We start from the raw sequence: 22,768 nt of genomic DNA, 5'->3' as shown, positions 1-22,768 counted from the left end.
CAACATCAACAAAAAAGTCCCCACAAAAACCCCATCCATAGGTCAACAGCCTCAAAGATGGAAGGTAGATAAAGTCATGAAGATGAGAAAGCATCCACAAAAAAAACCAGAGTGCCTCTTCTCCTGCAAATGATCATAACACCTTTCCAGCAAGGGCAAAGAACTGGGCTGATGGTGAGATGGATAAACTGAAAGAAGTGGGTTTCGGAAGGTGGGTAATAACAAACTTCACTGAACTAATGGAGCATGTTCTAATCCAATGTAAAGAAACTAAGAACCATGATAAGACACTACAGGGTGTGTTAACCAGAATAACCAGTTTAGAGAAGAACATAAATGACTTGATGGAGCTAAAAATCACAACACTAGAACTTCAAAATGCAACCATAAGTATCAATAGCCAAACAGACCAAGTGGAGGAAAGAATTTCGAGCTGGAAGACTATCTTACTGAAATAAGACAGGCAGACAAGATTAGAGAAAAGAGAATGAAAAGGCATGAACAGATCCCCCGAGAACTATGGAATTATGTAAAAAGACCAAACCGAAAACTGATTGGGGTACCTGAAAGAGGGAGAATAGAAACAAGTTAGAAAACACACTTCAGGATATCATCCAGGAGAACTTTCCCAATCTAGCAAGACAGGCCAACATTCAAATTCAGAAAATCCAGAGAACCCTAGTAAAATATTGCATGAGAAGATCAGCTCCAGGACACATAATCATCAAATTCTCCAAGGTCAAAATGAAAGAAAAAGTATTAAGGGCAGCCAGAAAAAAGGCCAGATCACAGACCAATGGAACACAACAGAGCATTCAGATATAAGACCACACGTCTACAACCATCTGATCTTTAACAAACCTTACAAAATCAAGCAATGGAGGAGAAAGGATTCCCTATATGGTAAGTGGTGCTCGTTCTAGATCCCTGAGGAATCGCCACATTGACTTCCAGAATGGTTGAACTAGTTTACAGTCCCACCAACAGTGTAAAAGTGTTCCTATTTCTCCACATCCTCTCCAGCACCTGTTGTTTCCTGACTTTTTTAATGATCGCCATTCTAACTGGTGGCAGATGGTATCTCATTGCGGTTTTGATTTGCATTTCTCTGATGGCCAATGATGAAGAGCATTTTTTCATGTGTCTGTTGGCTGCATAAATGTCTTCTTTTGAGAAGTGTCTGCTTATATCCTTTGCCCAATTTTTGATGGGGTTGTTTGTTTTTTTTCTTGTAAATTTGTTTGAGTTCATTGTAGATTCTGGATATTAGCCCTTTGTCAGATGAGTAGGTTGCGAAAATTTTCTCCCGTTTTGTAGGTTGCCTGTATACCATTTGACCCAGCCATCCCATTACTGGGTATATACCCAAAGGACTATAAATCATGCTGCTATAAAGACACATGCACACGTATGTTTATTGTGGCACTATTCACAATAGCAAAGACTTGGAACCAACACAGATGTCCAACAATGATAGACTGGATTAAGAAAATGTGGCACATATACACGATGGAATACTATGCAGCCATAAAAAACGATGAGTTCATGTCCTTTGTAGGGACATGGATGAAATTGGAAATCATCATTCTCAGTAAACTATCACAAGGACAAAAAACCAAACACCACATGTTCTCACTCATAGGTGGGAATTGAACAATGAGAACACTTGGACACAGGAAGGGGAACATCACACTCTGGGGATTGTTGTGGGGTGGGGGGAGGGGGGAGGGATAGCATTAGGAGATATACCTAATGCTAAATGACTAGTTAATGGGTGCAGCACACCAGCATGGCACATGTATACATATGTAACAAACCTGCACATTGTGTACATGTACCCTAAAGCTTAAAGTATAATAAAAATAATAAAAAATAAGTGGTGCTGGGAGGACTGACTAGCCATATGAAGAAAATTGAAACTGGATGGATTAAGACTTAAATGCAAAACCCAAACCTATAAAAACCCTAGAAGAAAACCTAGGCATTTCCATTTAGGACATAGGCACAGGAAAGTACTTTATGACAAAAAATCAAAAGCAATTGCAACAAAAGCAAAAGTTCACAAATGGGATCTAATTAAACTAAAGAGCTTCTGCAAAGCAAAAGAAACTTTCAGAGTGAACAGACAACTTACAGAATGGGAGACAATTTTTGCAATCTATTCATTTGACAAAGGTCTAATATTCAGAATCTATAAGAAACTTAATTTACAAGAATAAAACAAATCCATTAAAAAGTGGGCAAAGGACATGAACAGGCACTTCTTAAAAAAAGACATTTGCAGCCAACAAACATGAAAAAAGCTCAATATCACTGATCATTAGAGAAATGCAAATCAAAACTGCAATGAGATAACATCTCACATCAGTCATAATGGTGATATTTAAAAAGTCAAGAGATGAGATGCTGGTGAGGGTTTGCAGAAATAACACGGCCTTTATGCTCTTGGTAGGAATGTAAATTAGTTCAACCATTGTGGAAGGCAGTGTGGTGATTCCTCAAAGACCTGGAACCAGAAATACCATTTGACCCAGCAATCTCATTAATGGGTATATACCCAAAGGAATATAAATCATTCTGTTATAACAATACATACATTTGTATGTTCACTGCACACGATTCACAATAGCAAAGACATGGAATCTACCCAAATGCCCATGAATGATAGACTGGATAAAGAAAATGTGGTGCATTTACACATGTATACACGTGTTTGGAATACTATGCAGCCATGAAAAGGAAGAAGTTCATGTTCTTTGCAGGGACATGGATGGAGCTAGGAGCCGTTATCCTCAGCAAACTAACACAGGAACAGAAAACCAAACACTGTGTGTTCTTATAAGTGGGAGCTGAACAATGTGAACACATAGACAGGGGAACAACATACATTGGGGCCTGCTGGGGGTGTTTTGGGTGGGGGAGAGAGAGCATTAGGAATAATAGCTAATGCATGCTGGGCTTAATACCTAGGTGATGGGTTTATAGGTGCAGCAAGCCACCATAGCACACGTTTTCCTATGTAACAAACCTGCACATTCTGCAAATGTGTCCTGGAACTTTAAAATGAAATAAAAAGAACTCAAACTATAAAAATCCTAAAAGAAAACCTAGGGAATACCTGCTTTGACATTGGCCTTGGCAAATAATTTTTGGCTAAGTCCTCAAAAGCAATTCTAACAAGAACAAGTGAGACCTAATTGAACTAAAGATTTTCTACACAGAAAATAAAGCATTCATAGTGTAAACAGACAACCTAGAGAATGGGAGAAAAATTCACAAACTATGCTTCTGGCAAAGGTCTAATATCTAGAATCTATGAGGAATGTAAACAAATTAACCCCATTAAAAATGAGCTTAGTACCTAGGTGAGAGGTTGATAGATGCAGCAAGCCACCATGGCACAGATTTACCTGTGTAACAAATCTGCACATCCTGCACATGTCCCCAATAACTTAAAATGAAAAGAAAAAAATGGGCAAACAACATGAACATTGTCTTCCCAAAAGAAGACATACAAGTGAGCAAACACATGAAAATAATGCTCATCATCACTAATCATCAGAGAAATGCAAATCAAAACCACCAGTCAGAATGGCTATTGAGTCAAAAAATAACAGATGTTGGCAAGGCTGTGGAGAAAAGAGAATGCTCATACACTGTTGGTGGGAATGTAAATTAGTTCAGCCAACCTGGGAGGAAGTCCAGAGATTTCTCAAAGAACTTAAAACAGAGCTACCATTCAAGCCAACAATACCCATGGTGGTATACCCATAAGAAAATAAATCGTTCTATAAAAAAGACAAATGCACTTGAATATTCACAGCAGTGCTATTCACAATAGCAAAGACATGGAATCAACCAAGGTGTCCACAAATGGTGGATTGGATAAAGAAAATGTGGTATATCTACACCATGGAATAACATGCAGCCATGTAAAAGAACAAAATATGTCTTTTGCAGCAACATGGATGCAGCTGGAGTCCTTTATCCTAGACAAATTAATGTAGGAACAGAAAACCAACCACATGTTCTCACTTGTAAGTGGTAGCTAAACATTGAATATAAGGACGTAAAGACAAGAATAGTAGACTCTGGAGACTACTAAAGAAGGAGGAAGGGAGAAGGGTGTGAGTTGAAAAACTACTAGTGCTCACTACCTGGGAAATGGGATCCATACCCCAAACTATAGCATCATGTGATATACCCAGGTAACAAACCTGCACATGTACCCTTGGCATCTAAAATAAAACTTGAAATTTTTCTACAAAGTTACTCCCATTTATTTTTCAAGTCTTTATTATACTTATCTGTTTTTTAATACTGAATTTAGGTAAATTCTTCCATAAAACCTGACTGACATGTCTGTTGAATCAGTTTATTTCCATGAATTCTCAATGATTGCTCTGTAACAACATGTAATCCCAATGTTTGTCCAATTTTTACCTTATCTTCTGTTACACTGAGTGAACCAAGGTAAAATGATGAATTGCTTTAAAAATAAGTAATCAGTTGGAGCTCCTATTGTGAAACAAATCAATTTTTTAAATATAATCTATTTCTTTGAGGGGAAAAAACATATGCTGTGGGGTGATAGGAAGGGGTTTTTCATCTTCTGGTCAGTGGTTTCCCCATACTTCTGCATCATCACCAGTGCCCTGGATGATCGGCCTTTCAACTGCAAGCTCCCCATCACTCCTGTAGGCTGGTGTTTTTGTTTACCATAATTTGAGGGCAGGATGGGTCCTTGAGGACCCATATGCATCTTACCAAACAGCCTGATGGATGCCACGGGCCATCTCCTGCTCCCTATGTCTCCCGCTGTAAGCATTTTAGCAGAATGACTTGCATACCTTTTGAGCTGTGGTTTCTTATACTATTATCTGTCTTCTAGTTTGTAGGATTTTGTGATAATTTTAGGTCCTTTTTGACACTTCTTGATTTGAGGGGCTGTTACAGATTTAACTTATGTATAATTTAGTGTCATTTCTAGGGACTTTGACATGTGGGTGTGGCTCAGTCCATTATTTTACTCTTCTCTTACAGGTAAGATGGGTTGTTTTTCTCTAGGTGGAAATCATCTTTCAATGAAATAGGTTTACATTTCTAATAATGTCCATGTGCTTGCACGTACACAGTTGCTGTTGTTGCCTTTGTTTTGTATATAGTTTGGCATCCTTCTCATTTCTGGCTGGAAGAAGAATTATCTACATTAGCTGCACTCCTCCAAGGAAGAGAAGGTCCAGTAAAGAAATAGAACTGAAAGAGAGAGCAGATAGCCATTTGTCTTCTGAATCACTTGCATTCTATTTATTTCTCCATTTCCTGAATTTCTTTGAAGGCACATGAGGGTGAATTGGCATGTCATCAGGTAAACAGCCACAGAAACATAGATGGCATTTCCATTTTGGGTTAGCAGAAATGCACATTCTACATTAGCAGCCTGGAGTCAAATGGTATGATGTTAGGATTGATAATAGTTTTCACATCAAAAGAGCCCTTTGTATATTGAACCCAGACTATTGCATGAGAGCAGAATTCATCCTACTTAACATCCTATTTAGGCTCTTTCTCTCTCTCTCTTTTTTTTTTGATTCTTACCAAGAGACCCAGTTTGCTCAGAACTAAATATTCTGTGTCTTAGAAAGCATCTCACTGTAGGCACTGGCAATTGGCATTTTAGATTTATCTGGGACTAAGCTACTTTGTTTTCATCCTTTCACTAAATCTATAAAAATGTATTTTCTGTAATATATTTTCTTAATATATTTCAGGTAGCAATACAGAAATAGAGTTATAGAAACACTAGGCTAGATGTATCTGTTGGTTTGAATATTCAAGTTCTTTTTTTGCTACATATCAAATTGTGGGAAGTGAAACAGATAAACAATGAACTTCTTATTCCTATATTTCTGAAAAAATAACACTGTAATTTTGGCAGCAAAATTACTTCAATCTACTACTTTAAAATTTGTTTTTTGAAATCATAGTAGAAAAGCTTTATTTTGACTTTTCTTTTTTTAGTGTTAGAAAATATTTCACAAGGATGGGTATATACCTTTCAGATATGTGATTTTGTATGTGATTTTTTTTTTTTATTGTTTACTACCTTTTAACAGTATTTGAAAACTTATAAGGAAATTTGACCAAACAATTAATATGTGAAAGGAGTTTATACTCAATAACAACATAGAAAATAAATGTAATAATACTGATATAATGGAAAAGAAAATTGGTAATATTTTCACACAAGCAAATATTTATTCGGTGTGTCCCTTTGGGAAGGCCCTGTTGTAAAAGTTAAAAACAGAATACTTGGACAAGGAGTGGGGAACATCACACACTGGGGCCTGTTGTGGGGTCGGGGGAGGGGGGAGGAGGGAGGGATAGCATTAAGAGAATTACCTAATGTAAATGATGAGTTAATGGGTGTAGCACATGTACCCTAGAACTTAAAGTATAATAAAGAGGATGGGGGAATAAAAACCCAGAAGCATAAGAAAATGTACTTGTACCTTAATAACCTAATGCTCTATAGAGAAGAAGTGAAAGATAAACATATGAAAAATAAGATAATATGAGGGTACTAATAACATAAAACAAAGACATTTATCAGAAAGTCAATACTGACTTGATTAAGTTGAGGACAATCTTTACTTCAGCTTCTAGGAAATCTCTTGCTTGTATGTCAGAGTTCTATAGCTGTCTTAAAGGAGTTACACACTACTGACATCTTTCTTGGAGGAAAAAAAATTACCCGAATAAGCATATTAAGAAACACTTCAAACATTTTAAAAACTATACTGAATTTGTATTTGGCTTTTTGATTTATCAGTTTCCCAAAATTTTGTTGTATCTTGATGTCTCACTTTTTAACGCTCTTCTAACCATCCAACCTTTTAAAAATCTCTCTCTCATACTTGTAATAATAACTAATATTTGTTTGGTGCTTACTATAAGCCACACAGTATGTTAGAAACTTTATATACTTAATCTCACTTAATCTTTGTGCATAATCACACAAAAAGGATGGGTGCTGTTGGGAATTTAATCATAGAAGCTTTCTATATGCTGTTTCAAGAGTCTAATGGGTCATCCTGACGATTCCAATCACATTTCAGTTGACTACGCTGCTGTATAACATGTGGATGCTCAGTGTCCACGTGATGATTGACACACTGACTGCTGATGACTCAGACAGTCCACTGCAACTTTCAAATAATCTGTTTCATTTTTAACACTTCATCTGTGTTCATTTTAGCACAAGAAATCTAATAAATCTTACTGACTAGCCTTGGCAGGCCCTGAAAATCAAATTGGAGAGCAAGCCTGAGAGATACCTAGTTTCAAGGTTTTGGGACTATGTAAAAATGATTGAAAGTGATACCTTTCCCCTTTTTCAGTACCTAGTTCCCTCTTGAAACATCTCTAAGTCTCATCTCAGGAGACGTAGCCTCTTATAATTGACTGATTCTTCTATATTAACCCATATGTCCTGACAGCTCAGTTAACAGTCAGTTCAGTCATGAATTTTTGATTGATAATCTGTGAGTTCAATCAGAAAAGTCAAGCTGAGCGTAAAATTGACTTAATTATTATATCACTATATATATATTCACATGATCTTTCATGTGAGCCATGAACCTTTTCATGTGGCTCTTCCTTAAACTTTAACTCTGATCTTAGGACACCTTGTCCATTGTGTACTCAGAAGTAAAAAAATCACCAGATTCCTAAAGTAGATTGAATTCATCATGTGTATATCTTTCTTTTCTTCAGATGTTCAGTGACACAGCAGTGGAGATGGCATAGCCATAATAGCATGCAAGTGCAGATCCTTACTACATATTATCAAAATAGAGTATTTCTTCCAGGCCACGTTTTCCCATTCATCTTGAACTGCTAAACATACAAGACAGCACATGAAGTGTATTTATGCAGCTGGAGTTGTGATTATTGTCATTTTTTCCCTAATGCCTGCTGTGCAATCAGTCTTTTTAGAGAAACTACAATCACCTCCTGCTTTTTTATCAACATATTGCAAAATCTGACTTAAAGTTATTGAAGTAGATATACTGACTCAGTTTAATCACATAGGAATATGGTCTTCCTGATGTAATGAAGATGCTTTCTGAAGTTAAAAACCTGAAAATAAAGATAGAAGCTGTAACATATCTTACAGCTAAAGAGATCGCTTCTTGAAGGCTGGCCAGTGAGAGTTTAATTTCTGTCAAGCCTAACCACACATCATCATGATATGAAATCAAAACAATAAGCACAATTCAGAGACACAGATAATGGAGAGAAAAAGGTTCAGATGTACTTTTGCTTACGTGTTGTGTTATTTTAATAATTTCTAAATTTTTCCAGACAGACATCATGATGGTCAAAGAGTGTGGTTTGGTTTTAAGAACTGTAGTTAGTAGATCTAAGGCAGTTTGAAGACAAATGGAAACTTTAAATTCCCAGCATGAAATTTCTACCACAATCTTAACATTTTCAATATAGACTGAATAATATTAGTAGTAGCTCAACAAGCCACAGAAATAAAATATTACACACATGCACACTCTTCCCACTCCCCATCATCAGAAATGGAGCTTTTGGATGGAGTTGATGCTATTTTTGAACATCTTGTGAAGTTGAGGAGCTTCTTCCCACGAAAACAGAAGATAGCTATTTCATTTAAGTTTAGGAAAATCAATTTTATTAGGCTCTGAATTTCAACAAATTTGGGGTCCACTTGGAATCAAGTAACCACTATTATACTTCAGTGTTATGTAATTGTGCATGTGTAGTCATATTGTTCTAGGATTGTTACTATCTAGAGCACATCATTAATCTAAATTTGTTTCTTGAGAAATGAGAGTAATAACTGCACTTAGCTAGTAGAGTTGAGAGGATTTAAGGAGTTAAACTTAATAAAATATGCAGCAGAGTATAAGTTTGAAATAAATACTAGTGACTGATCTCGTTTCTGTGGTCTCAACCATCAGTTTAGGGAAGCTCTTGCTATAATTTTCAGGCCATTAGGTGACTATTTTATTGAACTCATACCAAAGAGTACATTAAAAGAGATTTCAGAGCTGTTCAGGTGTATTATCTTATTTAATCCAAGATCATATTACTGAGGTCACAGACAATATTAACATGGGGTCTTGAACTTATTTGGTGGGGGTAAAGTACCAAAGAAGCTAAGGTTAAAGATTGAATTTTTCTTTGGATTGGTCACCAATGAAAACATAATTAAAATTTATCAGTAGTGTATTATGTGTCAGCAATTGCCTAAGGAATTTTATTTTTACGCATCATCGCAGGTGAGCCTCAGAACTATCTTGCAATCTGGAGCTCAGAAAGGTGAAGTGAACTTTACCAAGTCAAGCAGATAATGAGCAGGGAAGCCTAAATTACAACCCAGGTCTTAATAATTTTCAAGAGCCTATATTCTTTGTAGTATGGTCTTCTAGCTCTATGACCTCAGACTAAAATTACAAACCATGTGCATTTGAAAATTTTAAAATGCAAGTTATTAGCACAGAGGTGACTATGTAAAAGGATTTGAGTGGATATTTATATTTTTAAATTTAAAATAGATTTAAAGAGCCAATCCTAGATAAGAAAGTATCATCAATTTGTTCTCCAATTCTCTTCTGTTTGTCAGAGAAGAATTCAATGCTGTTGTTGGTAATAGCCTATATTAAAAGTCTCAAAAGAAATTTGGAAGTGACTAAATTATTTAAACAATCAATTTAAATTGTAAAATTTTTACTCAAGTTTTAAAAGAGATTTTGTTCAAGATTGGGGTAATTTCTTCCTATACTACAAATATTCTGGGTTCTTTCATGAAAATTGTATTCCTTTAAATTAGGTATAAGAATGTTTACCTTTAGTACAAATTAGTAAGAAATCCAAAGACAGATACACACACACACCACACACACACACGAACATTTTTTTTTTCTTACATTTGTTCCTCATTTCAAAATTTTAGATCAAGTCTACTCTTTATGAGCTCTCAAATTTTATTGATCAAATAGTTCCCTGTCTTTGGACTCTGTCTTTCATTAGGGATCAGCAACCGTATGGAAAGGTTTCAACCCATTGAAAGAATCATCATGAGGGCTGAAGAGAGATTCAACCCAGATTCAGAGCTTTGTTTCAGTAAAGGGCACCCATCCTGTTCCTTCACTGTGGTTTCACTCTGACATTCTGTCCAGTATTGCATCTAACAAGTGCATATGCAACCTCTCTTTACTTAGGAGATTCCAGGTGAGGTGTGTGAAGTAAATAAAATATTGAGAGCTGATATTGCCTGTCCTGCCATCTGGTCCACCATCTGATTTTTCTTATTCTGCTTTATTTCTTAAGAAAGAGACCTCTCTGAATTTTACCAGAGCCCTGCCTAGTTGGGATACACATAGATGGAGATAATATGTGAGCAATTTTCAAAAGCCAAGAGATGTACCAATAGGGTGCCTGTTATAAGGAAAAGTCTGAAATCTTGAAAGAGATAAGAAATGAAAATTATATTTAAATGAGGTTTGTCAGTTTTGTCTTTGATATTAAACTGATGAGGTAAATTGCTTTCAGAAGTTAAAATAGAGATCTAAAGGTTATAATAATATCAATGCAAAAATAGCCCAGAGAGAGTAAGATGGGGATTTCATTTAAATATGTGAATGATTTGTAGAGATGTAATGGCTCTATTAATATTAATTATGCCATTATCATTCACTGCTCTCCAAATGGAAAATTGCCAATCTATAGCTTACTGGCAGAGATACTAAAATGCAAATAGAAGTTGACAACCTTGCTTCTATGCATACAAGTTGTTCATGATTTCTAGTTTAAAAAATTCTGACCAATCTAATGTTTTTTTTTAAAAAGTCTAGGTTTGCCAGAAAACTCTGGATATGAAGAATTTACCTCTAAGTATTGCTTTCCATTGGTATCTTGTGCTTGGGCTTCAATTAGTTTTTTTTTAAGGTCCCTTATTTTAAATTTTATTTTTTATCGATACGTTATAGTTGTACCCATTTATGTGGTACAAAGGCGAAACCTCCCTTGTCTCAGGTTTTGGTTTATCCCTCACACATCTATGTAAACTCCTTGAGAAAGGACAAAAGAAGAAGGAGCTCCACTAAACCTTAATGGGGGGGTGGTCTCTTTATAGCAAGGAGACAGCAAAAGGGACTAACAAACAGTTTCTGACTAGCTGGGATAGAGGAGGTGGCTCATTTTAAGAGCCATTCCTTAGACCAAAAGTTTTTATTTGGAGATGGGTGAGACAAAGACTTATGTCTGAGAAACTCTCTCATCAGGGAGAAGATTGTCTTTTAACTCTACACATTGGTGTTTGCTTCTTGAAGCAACTGACATTTAATGAGGAAGAAAACATTTTGAAAGTTATATTTACTTTTTAAATTGTGTGACTGTCTTAGTGTTTGGAAGATAATGTTTTTATGTGCAGTTTAAAATGTTTATCAATTTGAGTCCCAAACAGATACATTTCATTAAATTCTCAAGACTGGTTTTCACCCCATTAAGTTCTATTATCAAAATTACCAGGCAATATCTTAAAGCTTAAAAGTTATATCACTGATAATTGCACAGGTCTCTTCCTTCTTTTTGGATGTAAAATGCTGTTTTAAATGAATCATAGTATGTGCTTTGCTGCCAATTTGAATCCCTACATCTGAGAATCGTCCCACGATTACCCGCTTCCTGTCTGTAGGAGGTATCATTCTCATTATGAGCATCAACAGCAATGATTTGGTGCAGAAATAAAAATAGGCACCCCAAGTGAGTCCATGTGACTAAATGTGGAATAAGGGGGTATGGATGTCTTGGGTCCTCAACATATGAAGATAATTAAATCTCCAAACTATAACTTCTTGTCTTCTTTTTATAAGTATGCCTGGACTCCTAAAGTTTAAAGAAAACACACACACAAAAGATTTGAAATATGGGCAGAGGGGTGTGGTGCCATATGGCAGCACAAACAAAATTACCCAAACACTTCAAAAACAAGCAGGGTACATTCCTCCCTCTGTTCAGTAACCATATGTGAGCTCCACACGTGAGAAACTGCCTTCGAGTTGACTCAAGCAGACTCTTTGTCTTTGTGCCTCCAGTGTGTTTCCTTGAAGTGGGGGGAAAAAAAGCCAATGGTTCTTGGAGCGGAGCGGCAATGAGGTCTCTGCAAGATCCGATCCCAATATTGCCAATATTATAGAACGATTTTTGAATTGAAAGGACTTTGTGAAGAGGGAAGATGGTATACAATAAAAGAATCCTTGTCACTAAGTAAAAGCAAGCTTATCTTTGGCATTTAACTGTTCTGGGAGTTGTTTGGAGAAAATTAAAACGACATATTCCTGCCCTAATGGGATTTATCATTAGAGAACAGTTTTGGCTATGACACGCAATGGGCACACAGACATCGTTATAAAATCATGAGAATAAATTGATTAAATGAAAAAGGAATGAACTATACAGAGAGTATTAGTAAAATGTGGATATAGGTTATTGGTGGATCCTTGACTCCTAACCTTTTGAACCCAACCTTTCATTTTCTTCTCGCATGGTTTATAATTGCACATATTTTCTCACTGACTTCCATCACAACACCTCCTTTGACCTTTTACTTTGAAGTTACCCATTTGGCTGATTTAAAACATACATATTGCCTTAGGGCCAGGAAACCTTGTGCCATCTGTGGGATTATATATACAAGATATAAACTATATAACATTTGAGAATTTTATATAAATCATAGGAAAGAAAATCTCAAAATATTAGACATTAGAGCACAAAGGTGATTTCTAGAAGTCTAGAAATAAACCTTATAAAGCTGAGGAGATAAAAAAATCCTATTTCTACATTCCAGTTTGTATGTTCAATATAAGATGACTGAGTTTTAGTTAAAGTAATTATGTGGAAGTGAATATTTGGTGAAAGCTTTCAAAGGCCAAGTTAATGAATGACATTAATTGTGGAAACATTTTTGAACACCTAATGCCCATTAGGAATCCAGTTTGCTAAACATTTTTAGTGGCCTCACTCCCGGGCAATTTGAACAGAATGAAAGTACTAGTTACTAAGTTTTTGTTAGCTACACAGTTACCTATGTATTTAATTATATTTGGGGTTTTTATTATAACTGATTAATCCCTAGTTCTTTAGGCCATTTAGTGTATATAGCATCATGCAATTTACTAAAATAATTGAATTACTGTAACACATTATTGAAAGATTAGACTCTTGGCAACCTCAACTCTATTTAGGTTTGTAATAGACTAAATTAAAAAATACACCGTACACTGAAACACAACACAATATATGTACTTGGGTCCAAAAGTCCACTGATATGTTTATATTGTTAACTGCTTTAAGATGACTTTATTTAAAAATTAAGAGCAAAAAGGGCTTTGGAATATCTGCTGGTCCAGATTATTAATCACTAAATGCTCATTTTCTTTTCAAAATATCTTGCCTATCAATAGTAACTTCTGTTGACCGTGAGCTTTTGAATCGTTTCAGGCTCTGTAGCATGACCTAACCCTAAACTTCCTGGGAACTCAGAGTGAAGCATTCTGTGATGCAGAAGAAGCAAATTTGACTCTGAATCCCTGATGTGTACCCTCAGGATCCAGGAGCAGAAAACGTCTTTCTTCCCTTGCCTGTTTATTTTTAAATTCCTTTTATAAAATCAAAATTTGCAACAACCATAGTAGTTCAACAGCTAACTAATCCATAGATCATTTCAATTGATCTTAAAGTTCACAAAGATTTACTTTTCTAAGTGACTGGCACCCATTTACATGTCAGCACAAATCAGTGTAGATCAAACAAGTGAACCAGAGCTCCCAAGGAAAAGCTCTGCATTGGCCATCTAAAAAGTTATTGGAACAGACTTGCCCTTTGGTAGAAATGCATTGGAATGGAATAATGTTTCTTTTGCCTAAAGAGAAGCACTCAAGTGATGTCAGCTGTGCTTGAAGAAAACGTTAAAGCATCTTCTATTTGAACAAATAGGGCAACAGATCTAATAGCAAAGAAAAGTTACTTTCTATGACTCCAATGTGTTTTATTAATGGATGCTCCATAATTTGCTTCCCCTAAGATTATATACTGATACAACTTTCAGTGTGACTTCAAAACGTCCATACTTATTAGTTGATTTTTTAAATGATGCATTTTATACATTAATCTTTTTGGAAAAGGCAATATGAAACAAAGACATATTGATCAACTGTGGAGGGCCTCCAGCAATAAAATAATATGCTAAATGCTATTTCTTAGTAAAAGACTTAAGGGACAAACACACTGAGTAATAATCATGATGAGTTGTAGTTGATAAGGTAGAAGGTTACCTAAATTGAGTAAGTAGTGCAAAACAGGTGATATAGATCTTATCTGCAAGTTTACTGTATGACAAGATCATCTGTATCAATTGAAACTATAATGGCTTATTTGAAAATAAATGTTATTGCCAAGGTGGTCAAAAGAAGTATGATGTGCCTATCTCAGGCACTGGCCATGTATTGAGAACTTTGATAGTAGGATACAAATTGTCTATTGGAGAACTCTCCTTTCTAAGTTATGCTTATTTTTGCTAACCTTATCTAGGCTATTACCCTCTTGGTTAGAATTTAAGGAAAATACATTTTGAAATCTTTTAGTCACCTGATAAATGAATAAAAATTAAAAATATCAGGTAAAAAGAATAAAAGTAAAGGTGTTAGAAATTATACATGACATTTACTCTTGCTTTGTTGGTGTAAAAAGAAAAAAAAATGATACGTGACAAAAGACTTAAAATCTGAGAGAGCCCTGTATTTATTATGTGCCTGCTGGTCATTCCTTTATACGTTACTGCTCTGATGCTGGGTTTTAAACTTTTAAACTTACAGGTCTTTGTGACTGCCATCTTGAAAGTAGTTTAATATGTGCTGAATTAGCCTGACCCTTAGAGTTGTACTTACATATTGATACAGGTGGTGGACTACAACCCCTAAGTCTCTGCACATCAAGAATCTTAGGCTTACTGTTAATTTACTTTGAATTCTTAAAATAAGTGCATTCTCTGCTTTGCTTTTCCTCATATAGTCACCGTTTCTTCGTGGAGGGAGAAAGAAAGCACAACCAGAGAGAAGATACTAGTTTTCCCTTTTAGCATAGTATAAAAGGTGGCTAGTGACTACCCTGTATCAAGATTGCTGAGTGAGGCCGGGCGCGGTGGCTCACGCCTGTAATCTCAGCACTTTGGGAGGCCGAGACGGGCAGATCACGAGGTCAGGAGATCGAGACCATCCTGGCTAACACGATGAAACCCAGTCTCTACTAAAAATACAAAAATTAGCTGGGCATGGTGGCGCGCGCCTGTAGTCCCAGCTACACGGGAGACTGAGGCAGGAGAATGGCGTGAACCCGGAAGGCGGAGCTTGCAGTGAGTCGAGATCGCGCCACTGCACTCCAGCCTGGGCGACAGAGCGAGACTCCGTCTCAAAAAAAAAAAAAAAAAAAAAAAAAAAAAAAAAGATTGCTGAGTGAGGGGTTTGGGAAAAAAATAAATTATGTTGTTTAGTAAATAGTTAATGAAGCAGTGATGGTCTTAGATAAAATCACTTTTATTCTGATCCTTTTTCTATTTACGGTGGGATGTGACATATGTATACATGTGACATGCTGACGCGCTGCACCCACTAACTCGTCATCTAGCATTAGGTATATCTCCGAGTGCTATCCCTCCCCACTCTCCCCACCCCACAACAGTCCCCAGAGTGTGATGTTCCCCTTCCTGTGTCCATGTGTTCTCATTGTTCAATTCCCACCTATGAGTGAGAATACGCGGTGTTTGGTTTTTTGTTCTTGAGATAGTTTACTGAGAATGATGATTTACAATTTCATCCATGTCCCTACAAAGGACATGAACTCATCGTTTTTTATGGCTGCATAGTATTCCATGGTGTATATGTGCCACATTTTCTTAATCAAGTCTATCATTGTTGGACATTTGGGTTGGTTCCAAGTCTTTGCTATTGTGAATAGTGCCGCAATAAACATACGTGTGCATGTGTATTTATAGCAGCATGATTTATAGTCCTTTGGGTATATACCCAGTAATGGGATGGCTGGGTCAAATGGTATTTCTAGTTCTAGATCCCTGAGGAATCGCCACACTGACTTCCACAATGGTTGAACTAGTTTACAGTCCCACCAACAGTGTAAAAGTGTTCCTGTTTCTCCACATCCTCTCCAGCACCTGTTGTTTCCTGACTTTTTAATGATTGCCATTCTAACTGGTGTGAGATGGTATCTCATTGTGGTTTTGATTTGCATTTCTCTGATGGCCAGTGATGGTGAGTATTTTTTCATGTGTTTTTTGGCTGCATAAATGTCTTCTTTTGAGAAGTGTCTGTTCATGTCCTTCTCCCACTTTTTGATGGGGTTGTTTGTTTTTTTCTTGTAAATTTGTTTGAGTTCATTGTAGATTCTGGATATTAGCCCTTTGTCAGATGAGTAGGTTGCAAAAATTTTCTCCCATTTTGTGGGTTGCCTGTTGACTCTGATGGTAGTTTCTTTTGCTGTGCAGAAGCTCTTTAGTTTAATTAGATCCCATTTGTCAATTGTGGCTTTTGTTGCCATTGCTTTTGGTGTTTTAGACATGAAGTCCTTGCCCGTGCCTATGTCCTGAATGGTAATGACTAGGTTTTCTTCTAGGGTTTTTATGGTTTTAGGTCTAACGTTTAAGTCTTTAATCCATCTTGAATTGATTTTTGTATAAGGTGTAAGGAAGGGATCCAGTTTCAGCTTTCTACATATGGCTAGCCAGTTTTCCCAGCACCATTTATTAAATAGGGAATCCTTTCCCCATTGCTTGTTTTTCTCAGGTGTTTCAAAGATCAGATAGTTGTAGATATGCGGCATTATTTCTGAGGCTCTGTTCTGTTCCATTGATCTATATTTCTGTTTTGGTACCAGTACCATGCTGTTTTGGTTACTGTAGCCTTGTAGTATAGTTTGAAGTCAGGTAGTGTGATGCCTCCAGCTTTGTTCTTTTGGCTTAGGATTGACTTGGTGACGCGGGCTCTTTTTTGGTTCCATATGTACTTTAAAGTAGTTTTTTCCAATTCTGTGAAGAAAGTCATTAGTAGCTTGATGGGGATGGCATTGAATCTATAAATTACCTTGGGCAGTAAGGCCATTTTCACGATATTGATTCTTTCTACCCATGAGCATGGAATGTTCTTCCATTTTTTTGTATCCTCTTTTATTTCATTGAGCAGTGGTTTGTAGTTCTCCTTGAAGAGGTCCTTCACATCCCTTGTAAAGTGGATTCCTAGGTATTTTATTCTCTTTGAAGCAATTGTGAATGGGAGTTCACTCATGATTTGGCTCTCTGTTTGTCTGTCATTGGTGTATAAGAATGCTTGTGATTTTTGTACATTGATTTTGTATCCTGAGACTTTGCTGAAGTTGCTTATCAGCTTAAGGAGATTTTGGGCTGCGACGATCGGGTTTTCTAGATATATAATCATGTCATCTGCAAACAGGGACAATTTGACTTCCTCTTTTCCTAATTGAATACCCTTTATTTCCTTCTCCTGTCTGATTGCCCTGGCCAGAACTTCCAACATTATGTTGAATAGGAGTAGTGAGAGAGGGCAACCCTGTCTTGTGCCAGTTTTCAAAGGGAATGCTTCCAGTTTTTGCCCATTCAGTATGATATTGGCTGTGGGTTTGTCACAGATAGCTCTTATTATTTTGAGATATGTCCCATCAATACCGAATTTATTGAGAGTTTTTAGCATGAAGGGTTGTTGAATTTTGTCAAAGGCCTTTTCTGCATCTATTGAGATAATCATGTGGTTTTTGTCTTTGGTTCTGTTTATATGCTGGATTATATTTATTGATTTTCGTATATTGAACCAGCCTTGCATTCCAGGGATGAAGCCCACTTGATCATGGTGGATAAGCTTTTTGATGTGCTGCTAGATTCGGTTTGCCAGTATTTTATTGAGGATTTTTGCATCAATGTTCATCAAGGATATTTGTCTAAAATTCTCTTTTTTGGTTGTGTCTCTGCCTGGCTTTGGTATCAGGATGATGCTGGCCTCATAAAATGAGTTAGGGAGGATTCCCTCTTTTTCTATAGATTGGAATAGTTTCAGAAGGAATGGTACCAGTTCCTCCTTGTACCTCTGGTAGAATTCGGCTGTGAATCCATCTGGTCCTGGACTCTTTTTGGTTGGTAAGCTATTGATTATTGCCACAATTTCAGATCCTGTTATTGGTCTATTCAGAGATTCAACTTCTTCCTGCTTTAGTCTTGGGAGAGTGTATGTGTTGAGGAATTTATCCATTTCTTCTAGATTTTCTAGTTTATTTGCGTAGAGGTGTTTGTGGTATTCTCTGATGGTAGTTTGTATTTCTGTGGGATCGGTGGTGATATCCCCTTTATCATTTTTTATTGCGTCTATTTAATTCTTCTCTCTTTTTTTCTTTATTAGTCTTGCTAGCGGTCTATCAATTTTGTTGATCCTTTCAAAAAACCAGCTCCTGGATTCATTAATTTTTTGAAGGGTTTTTTGTGTCTCTATTTCCTTCAGTTCTGCTCTGATTTTAGTTATTTCTTGCCTTCTGCTAGCTTTTGAATGTGTTTGCTCTTGCTTTTCTAGTTCTTTTAATTGTGATGTTAGGGTGTCAACTTTGGATGTTTCCTGCTTTCTGTTGTGGACATTTAGTGCTATAAATTTCCCTCTACACACTGCTTTGAATGTGTCCCAGAGATTCTGGTATGTTGTGTTTTTGTTCTCATTGGTTTCAAAGAACATCTTTATTTTTGCCTTCATTTCGTTATGTACCCAGTAGTCATTCAGGAGCAGGTTGTTCAGTTTCTATTTAGTTGAGGGGTTTTGAGTGAGTTTCTTAATCCTGAGTTCTAGTTTGATTGCACTGTGGTCTGAGAGATAGTTTGTTATAATTTCTGTTCTTTTACATTTGCTGAGGAGAGCTTTACTTCCGACTATGTGGTCAATTTTGGAATAGGTGTGGTGTGGTGCTGAAAAAAATGTATATTCTGTTGATTTGGGGTGGAGAGTTCTGTAGATGTCTATTAGGTCAGCTTGGTGCAGAGCTGCGTTCAATTCCTGGGTATCCTTGTTGACTTTCTGTCTCATTAATCTGTCTAATGCTGACAGTGGGGTGTTAAAGTCTCCCATTATTAATGTGTGGGAGTCTAAGTCTCTTTGTAGGTCACTGAGGACTTGCTTTATGAATCTGGGTGCTCCTGCATTGGGTGCATATATATTTAGGATAGTTAGCTCTTCTTGTTGAATTGATCCCTTTACCATTATGTAATGGCCTTCTTTGTCTCTTTTGATCTTTGTTGGTTTAAAGTCTGTTTTATCAGAGACTAGGATTGCAACCCCTGCCTTTTTTTGTTTTCCATTTGCTTGGTAGATCTTCCTCCATCCTTTTATTTTGAGCCTATGTGTGTCCCTGCATGTGAGATGGGTTTCCTGAATACAACACACTGATGGGTCTTGAGTCTTTATCCAATTTGGCAGTCTGTGTCTTTTAATTGGAGCATTTAGCCCATTTACATTTAAGGTTAATATTGTTATGTGTGAATTTGAACCTGTCATTATGATGTTAGCTGGTTATTTTGCTTGTTAGTTGATGCAGTTTCTTCCTAGACTTGATGGTCTTTACATTTTGGCATGATTTTGCAGCAGCTGGTACCGGTTGTTCCTTTCCATGTTTAGTGCTTCCTTCAGGAGGTCTTTTAGGGCAGGCCTGGTGGTGACAAAATCTCTCAGCATTTGCTTGTCTGTAAAGTATTTTATTTCTCCTTCACTTATGAAGCTTAGTTTGGCTGGATATGAAATTCTGGGTTGAAAATTCTTTTCTTTAAGAATGTTGAATATTGGCCCCCACTCTCTTCTGGCTTGTAGAGTTTCTGCCGAGAGATCAGCTGTTAGTCTGATGGGCTTCCCTTTGTGGGTAACCCGACCTTTCTCTCTAGCTGCCCCTAACATTTTTTCCTTCATTTCAACTTTGGAGAATCTGACAATTATGTGTCTTGGAGTTGCTCTTCTCAAGGAGTATCTTTGTGGCGTTCTCTGTATTTCCTGAATCTGAATGTTGGCCTGCCTTGCTAGATTGGGGAAGTTCTCCTGGATAATATCCTGCAGAGTGTTTTCCAACTTGGTTCCATTCTCTCCGTCACTTTCAGGTACACCAATCAGACGTAGATTTGGTCTTTTCACATAGTCCCATATTTCTTGGGGCTTTGTTCATTTCTTTTTCTTCTTTTTTCTCTAAACTTCCCTTCTCACTTCATTTCATTCATTTCGTCTTCCATCGCTGATACCCTTTCTTCCAGATGATCGCATTGGCTCCTGAGGCTTCTTCATTCTTCGCGTAGTTCTCGAGCCTTGGCTTTCAGCTCCATCAGCTCCTTTAAGCACTTCTCTGTATTGGTTATTCTAGTTATACATTCGTCTAAATTTTTTTTCAAAATTTTTAACTTCTTTGCCTTTGGTTTGAATTTCCTCCTGTAGCTCATAGTTTGATCGTCTGAAGCCTTCTTCTCTCAACTCGTCAAAGTCATTCTCTGTCCAGCTTTGTTCCATTGCTGGTGAGGAACTGCGATCCTTTGGAGGAGGAGAGGTGCTCTGCTTTTTAGAGTTTCCAGTTCTGCTCTGTTTTTTCCCCATCTTTGTGGTTTTATCTACTTTTCGTCTTTGATGATGGTGATGTACAGATGGGTTTTTGGTGTGGATGTCCTTTCTGTTTGTTAGTTTTCCTTCTAACAGACAGGACCCTCAGCTGCAGGTCTGTTGGAATTTGCTAGAGGTCCACTCCAGACCCTGTTTGCCTGGGTATCAGCAGCGGTGTCTGCAGAACAGTGGTTTTTCGTGAACCGCGAATGCTGCTGTGTGATCATTCCTCTGGAAGTTTTGTCTCAGAGGAGTACCCAGCCCTGTGAGGTGTCAGTCTGCCCCTACTGGGGGGTGCCTCCCAGTTAGGCTGCTCAGTGGTCAGGGGTCAGGGACCCACTCGAAGAGGCAGTCTGCCCGTTCTCAGATCTCCAGCTGTGTGCTGGGTAAACCACTGCTCTCTTCAGAGCTGTCAGACAGGGACATTTAAGTCTGCAAAAGTTACTGCTGTCTTTTTATTTGTCTGTGCCCTGCCCCCAGAGGTGGAGCCTACAGAGGCAGGCAGGCCTCCTTGAGCTGTGGTGGGCTCCACCCAGTTGGAGCTTCCTGGCTGCTTTGTTTACCTAAGCATGCCTGGGCAATGGCGGGCACCCCTCCCCCAGCCTCGCTGCCACCTTGCAGTTTGATCTCAGACTGCTGTGCTAGCAATCAGCAAGACTCCATGGGCGTAGGACCCTCCAAGCCAGGTGCAGGATATAATCTCCTGGTGTGCCGTTTTTTAAACCCATCGGAAAAGCGCATTATTCGGGTGGGAGTGACCCGATTTTCCAGGTGCCATCTGTCACCCCTTTCTTTGACTAGGAAAGGGAACTCCCTGACCCCTTGCGCTTCCTGAGTGAGGCAATGCCTCGCCCCACTTCGGCTCGTGCACGGTGCGCTGCACCCACTGACCTGTGCCCACTGTCTGGCACTCCCTAGTGAGATGAACCCGGTACCTCAGATGGAAATGCAGAAATCACCTGTCTTCTGCGTCACTCACGCTGGGAGCTGTAGACCTGAGCAGTTCCTTTTCGGCCATCTTGGCTCCTCTGTCCCAAAAGTATTCAGTGTATTAAGTTCCTGGTTTTTCCTCTGTGGATCTGATCTTCCTCCAGGCTTCCTCACTAGAGTAAGTATATCCTCCATTAATTCACTTGTCCGAGGCAGAAATATGGAATATGGAAGTGATCCTAAAATTTGTTTCTTTTTCTTTTTTATTTTTTTTGAGATGGAATCTCGCTCTGTCACCCAGGCTGCATGCAGTGGTGTGAACTCTGCTCACTGCAAGCTCCACCTGCTGGGTTCAGGCGATTCTTCCACCTCAGCCTCCTGAGTAGCTAGGATTACAGTCATGTGCCATGATGCCCGGCTAATTTCGTGTTTTTAGTAGAGATGCGGTTTCTCCATATTGTTCAGGCTGGTCTCGAACTCCCAACCTCAGGTGATCTGCCTCCAGAAGTGCGAGGATTACAGGCGTGAGCCACCACACCTGGCTGATCCTAAAATTTCTAAGCCTCAAAATATATTTTGAATATATCTATTTCACTTCATCCTCACTGCATCTCTTGGTCCAAGCTGCCATCTTTTTTATTAGAACTATTTTAGTAGCCTTGTAACTGGTCTCTCTATATTGCTCTTAATTCCTTCCAATGCATTTGTTATGAAGAAGCCAGGATTATTTTTTAAACCCTAAAAAAATCTTAAAATGCCCCAGTGATTTTCTGTTGTATTTGGGATGTATAAAAGTAGAATTATATTTAACACGGCTTTTTAGACTATTGCAATTTAGTCCCTAGCTACTTTTGTGTGCTTATCTTGAGCCATTCTCCCCTCTTTCTGACACACTGTCCTTAATTTAGTTCCCTAAAGGGCCATCTAAGAAAGTTCACACTTGCTCCCTCTGGTTGAAACACTCTTCTTTTTGCCTGCTCATCCTTGAAGTCTCAAATAAAATGTTATTTCCTCATTGAGGGGATCCCTGAAGGACCAATTTAAACTAGATATACCTCATTGCTCTCTTTCATAGTGTGCAGTAAAGGGTTAATTCAGCAAGCTTGAGGTGC

General features: G+C 37.8%; 1 long non-coding RNA gene across 1 annotated transcript in view, besides 2 other annotated features; it reads left to right on the top strand.

Moving 5' to 3' along the window:
• The window catches only part of LINC02208 (long intergenic non-protein coding RNA 2208), a 211,152-nt gene that overhangs the window by 157,391 nt on the left and 30,993 nt on the right, over window positions 1–22,768 (top strand). The window lies entirely within an intron of this gene.
• Window positions 20,921–21,421: an enhancer, noted in NCBI's record as "H3K4me1 hESC enhancer chr5:117719001-117719501 (GRCh37/hg19 assembly coordinates)". NCBI's record gives its function as "activates a minimal SCP1, AML or CMV promoter by ChIP-STARR-seq in naive H9 embryonic stem cells {active_cell/tissue: H9 hESC(naive)}" and the evidence as "EXISTENCE:reporter gene assay evidence [ECO:0000049][PMID:30033119]".
• Window positions 21,422–21,922: an enhancer, noted in NCBI's record as "H3K4me1 hESC enhancer chr5:117718500-117719000 (GRCh37/hg19 assembly coordinates)". NCBI's record gives its function as "activates a minimal SCP1, AML or CMV promoter by ChIP-STARR-seq in naive H9 embryonic stem cells {active_cell/tissue: H9 hESC(naive)}" and the evidence as "EXISTENCE:reporter gene assay evidence [ECO:0000049][PMID:30033119]".

Source organism: Homo sapiens, chromosome 5 (assembly GCF_000001405.40).
Source record: "Homo sapiens chromosome 5, GRCh38.p14 Primary Assembly".
Taxonomy (NCBI): Eukaryota; Metazoa; Chordata; class Mammalia; order Primates; family Hominidae; genus Homo; species Homo sapiens.
The sequence above is the reverse complement of the archived record's forward strand: the minus strand, read 5'-3'. Positions and strand labels throughout refer to the sequence as shown.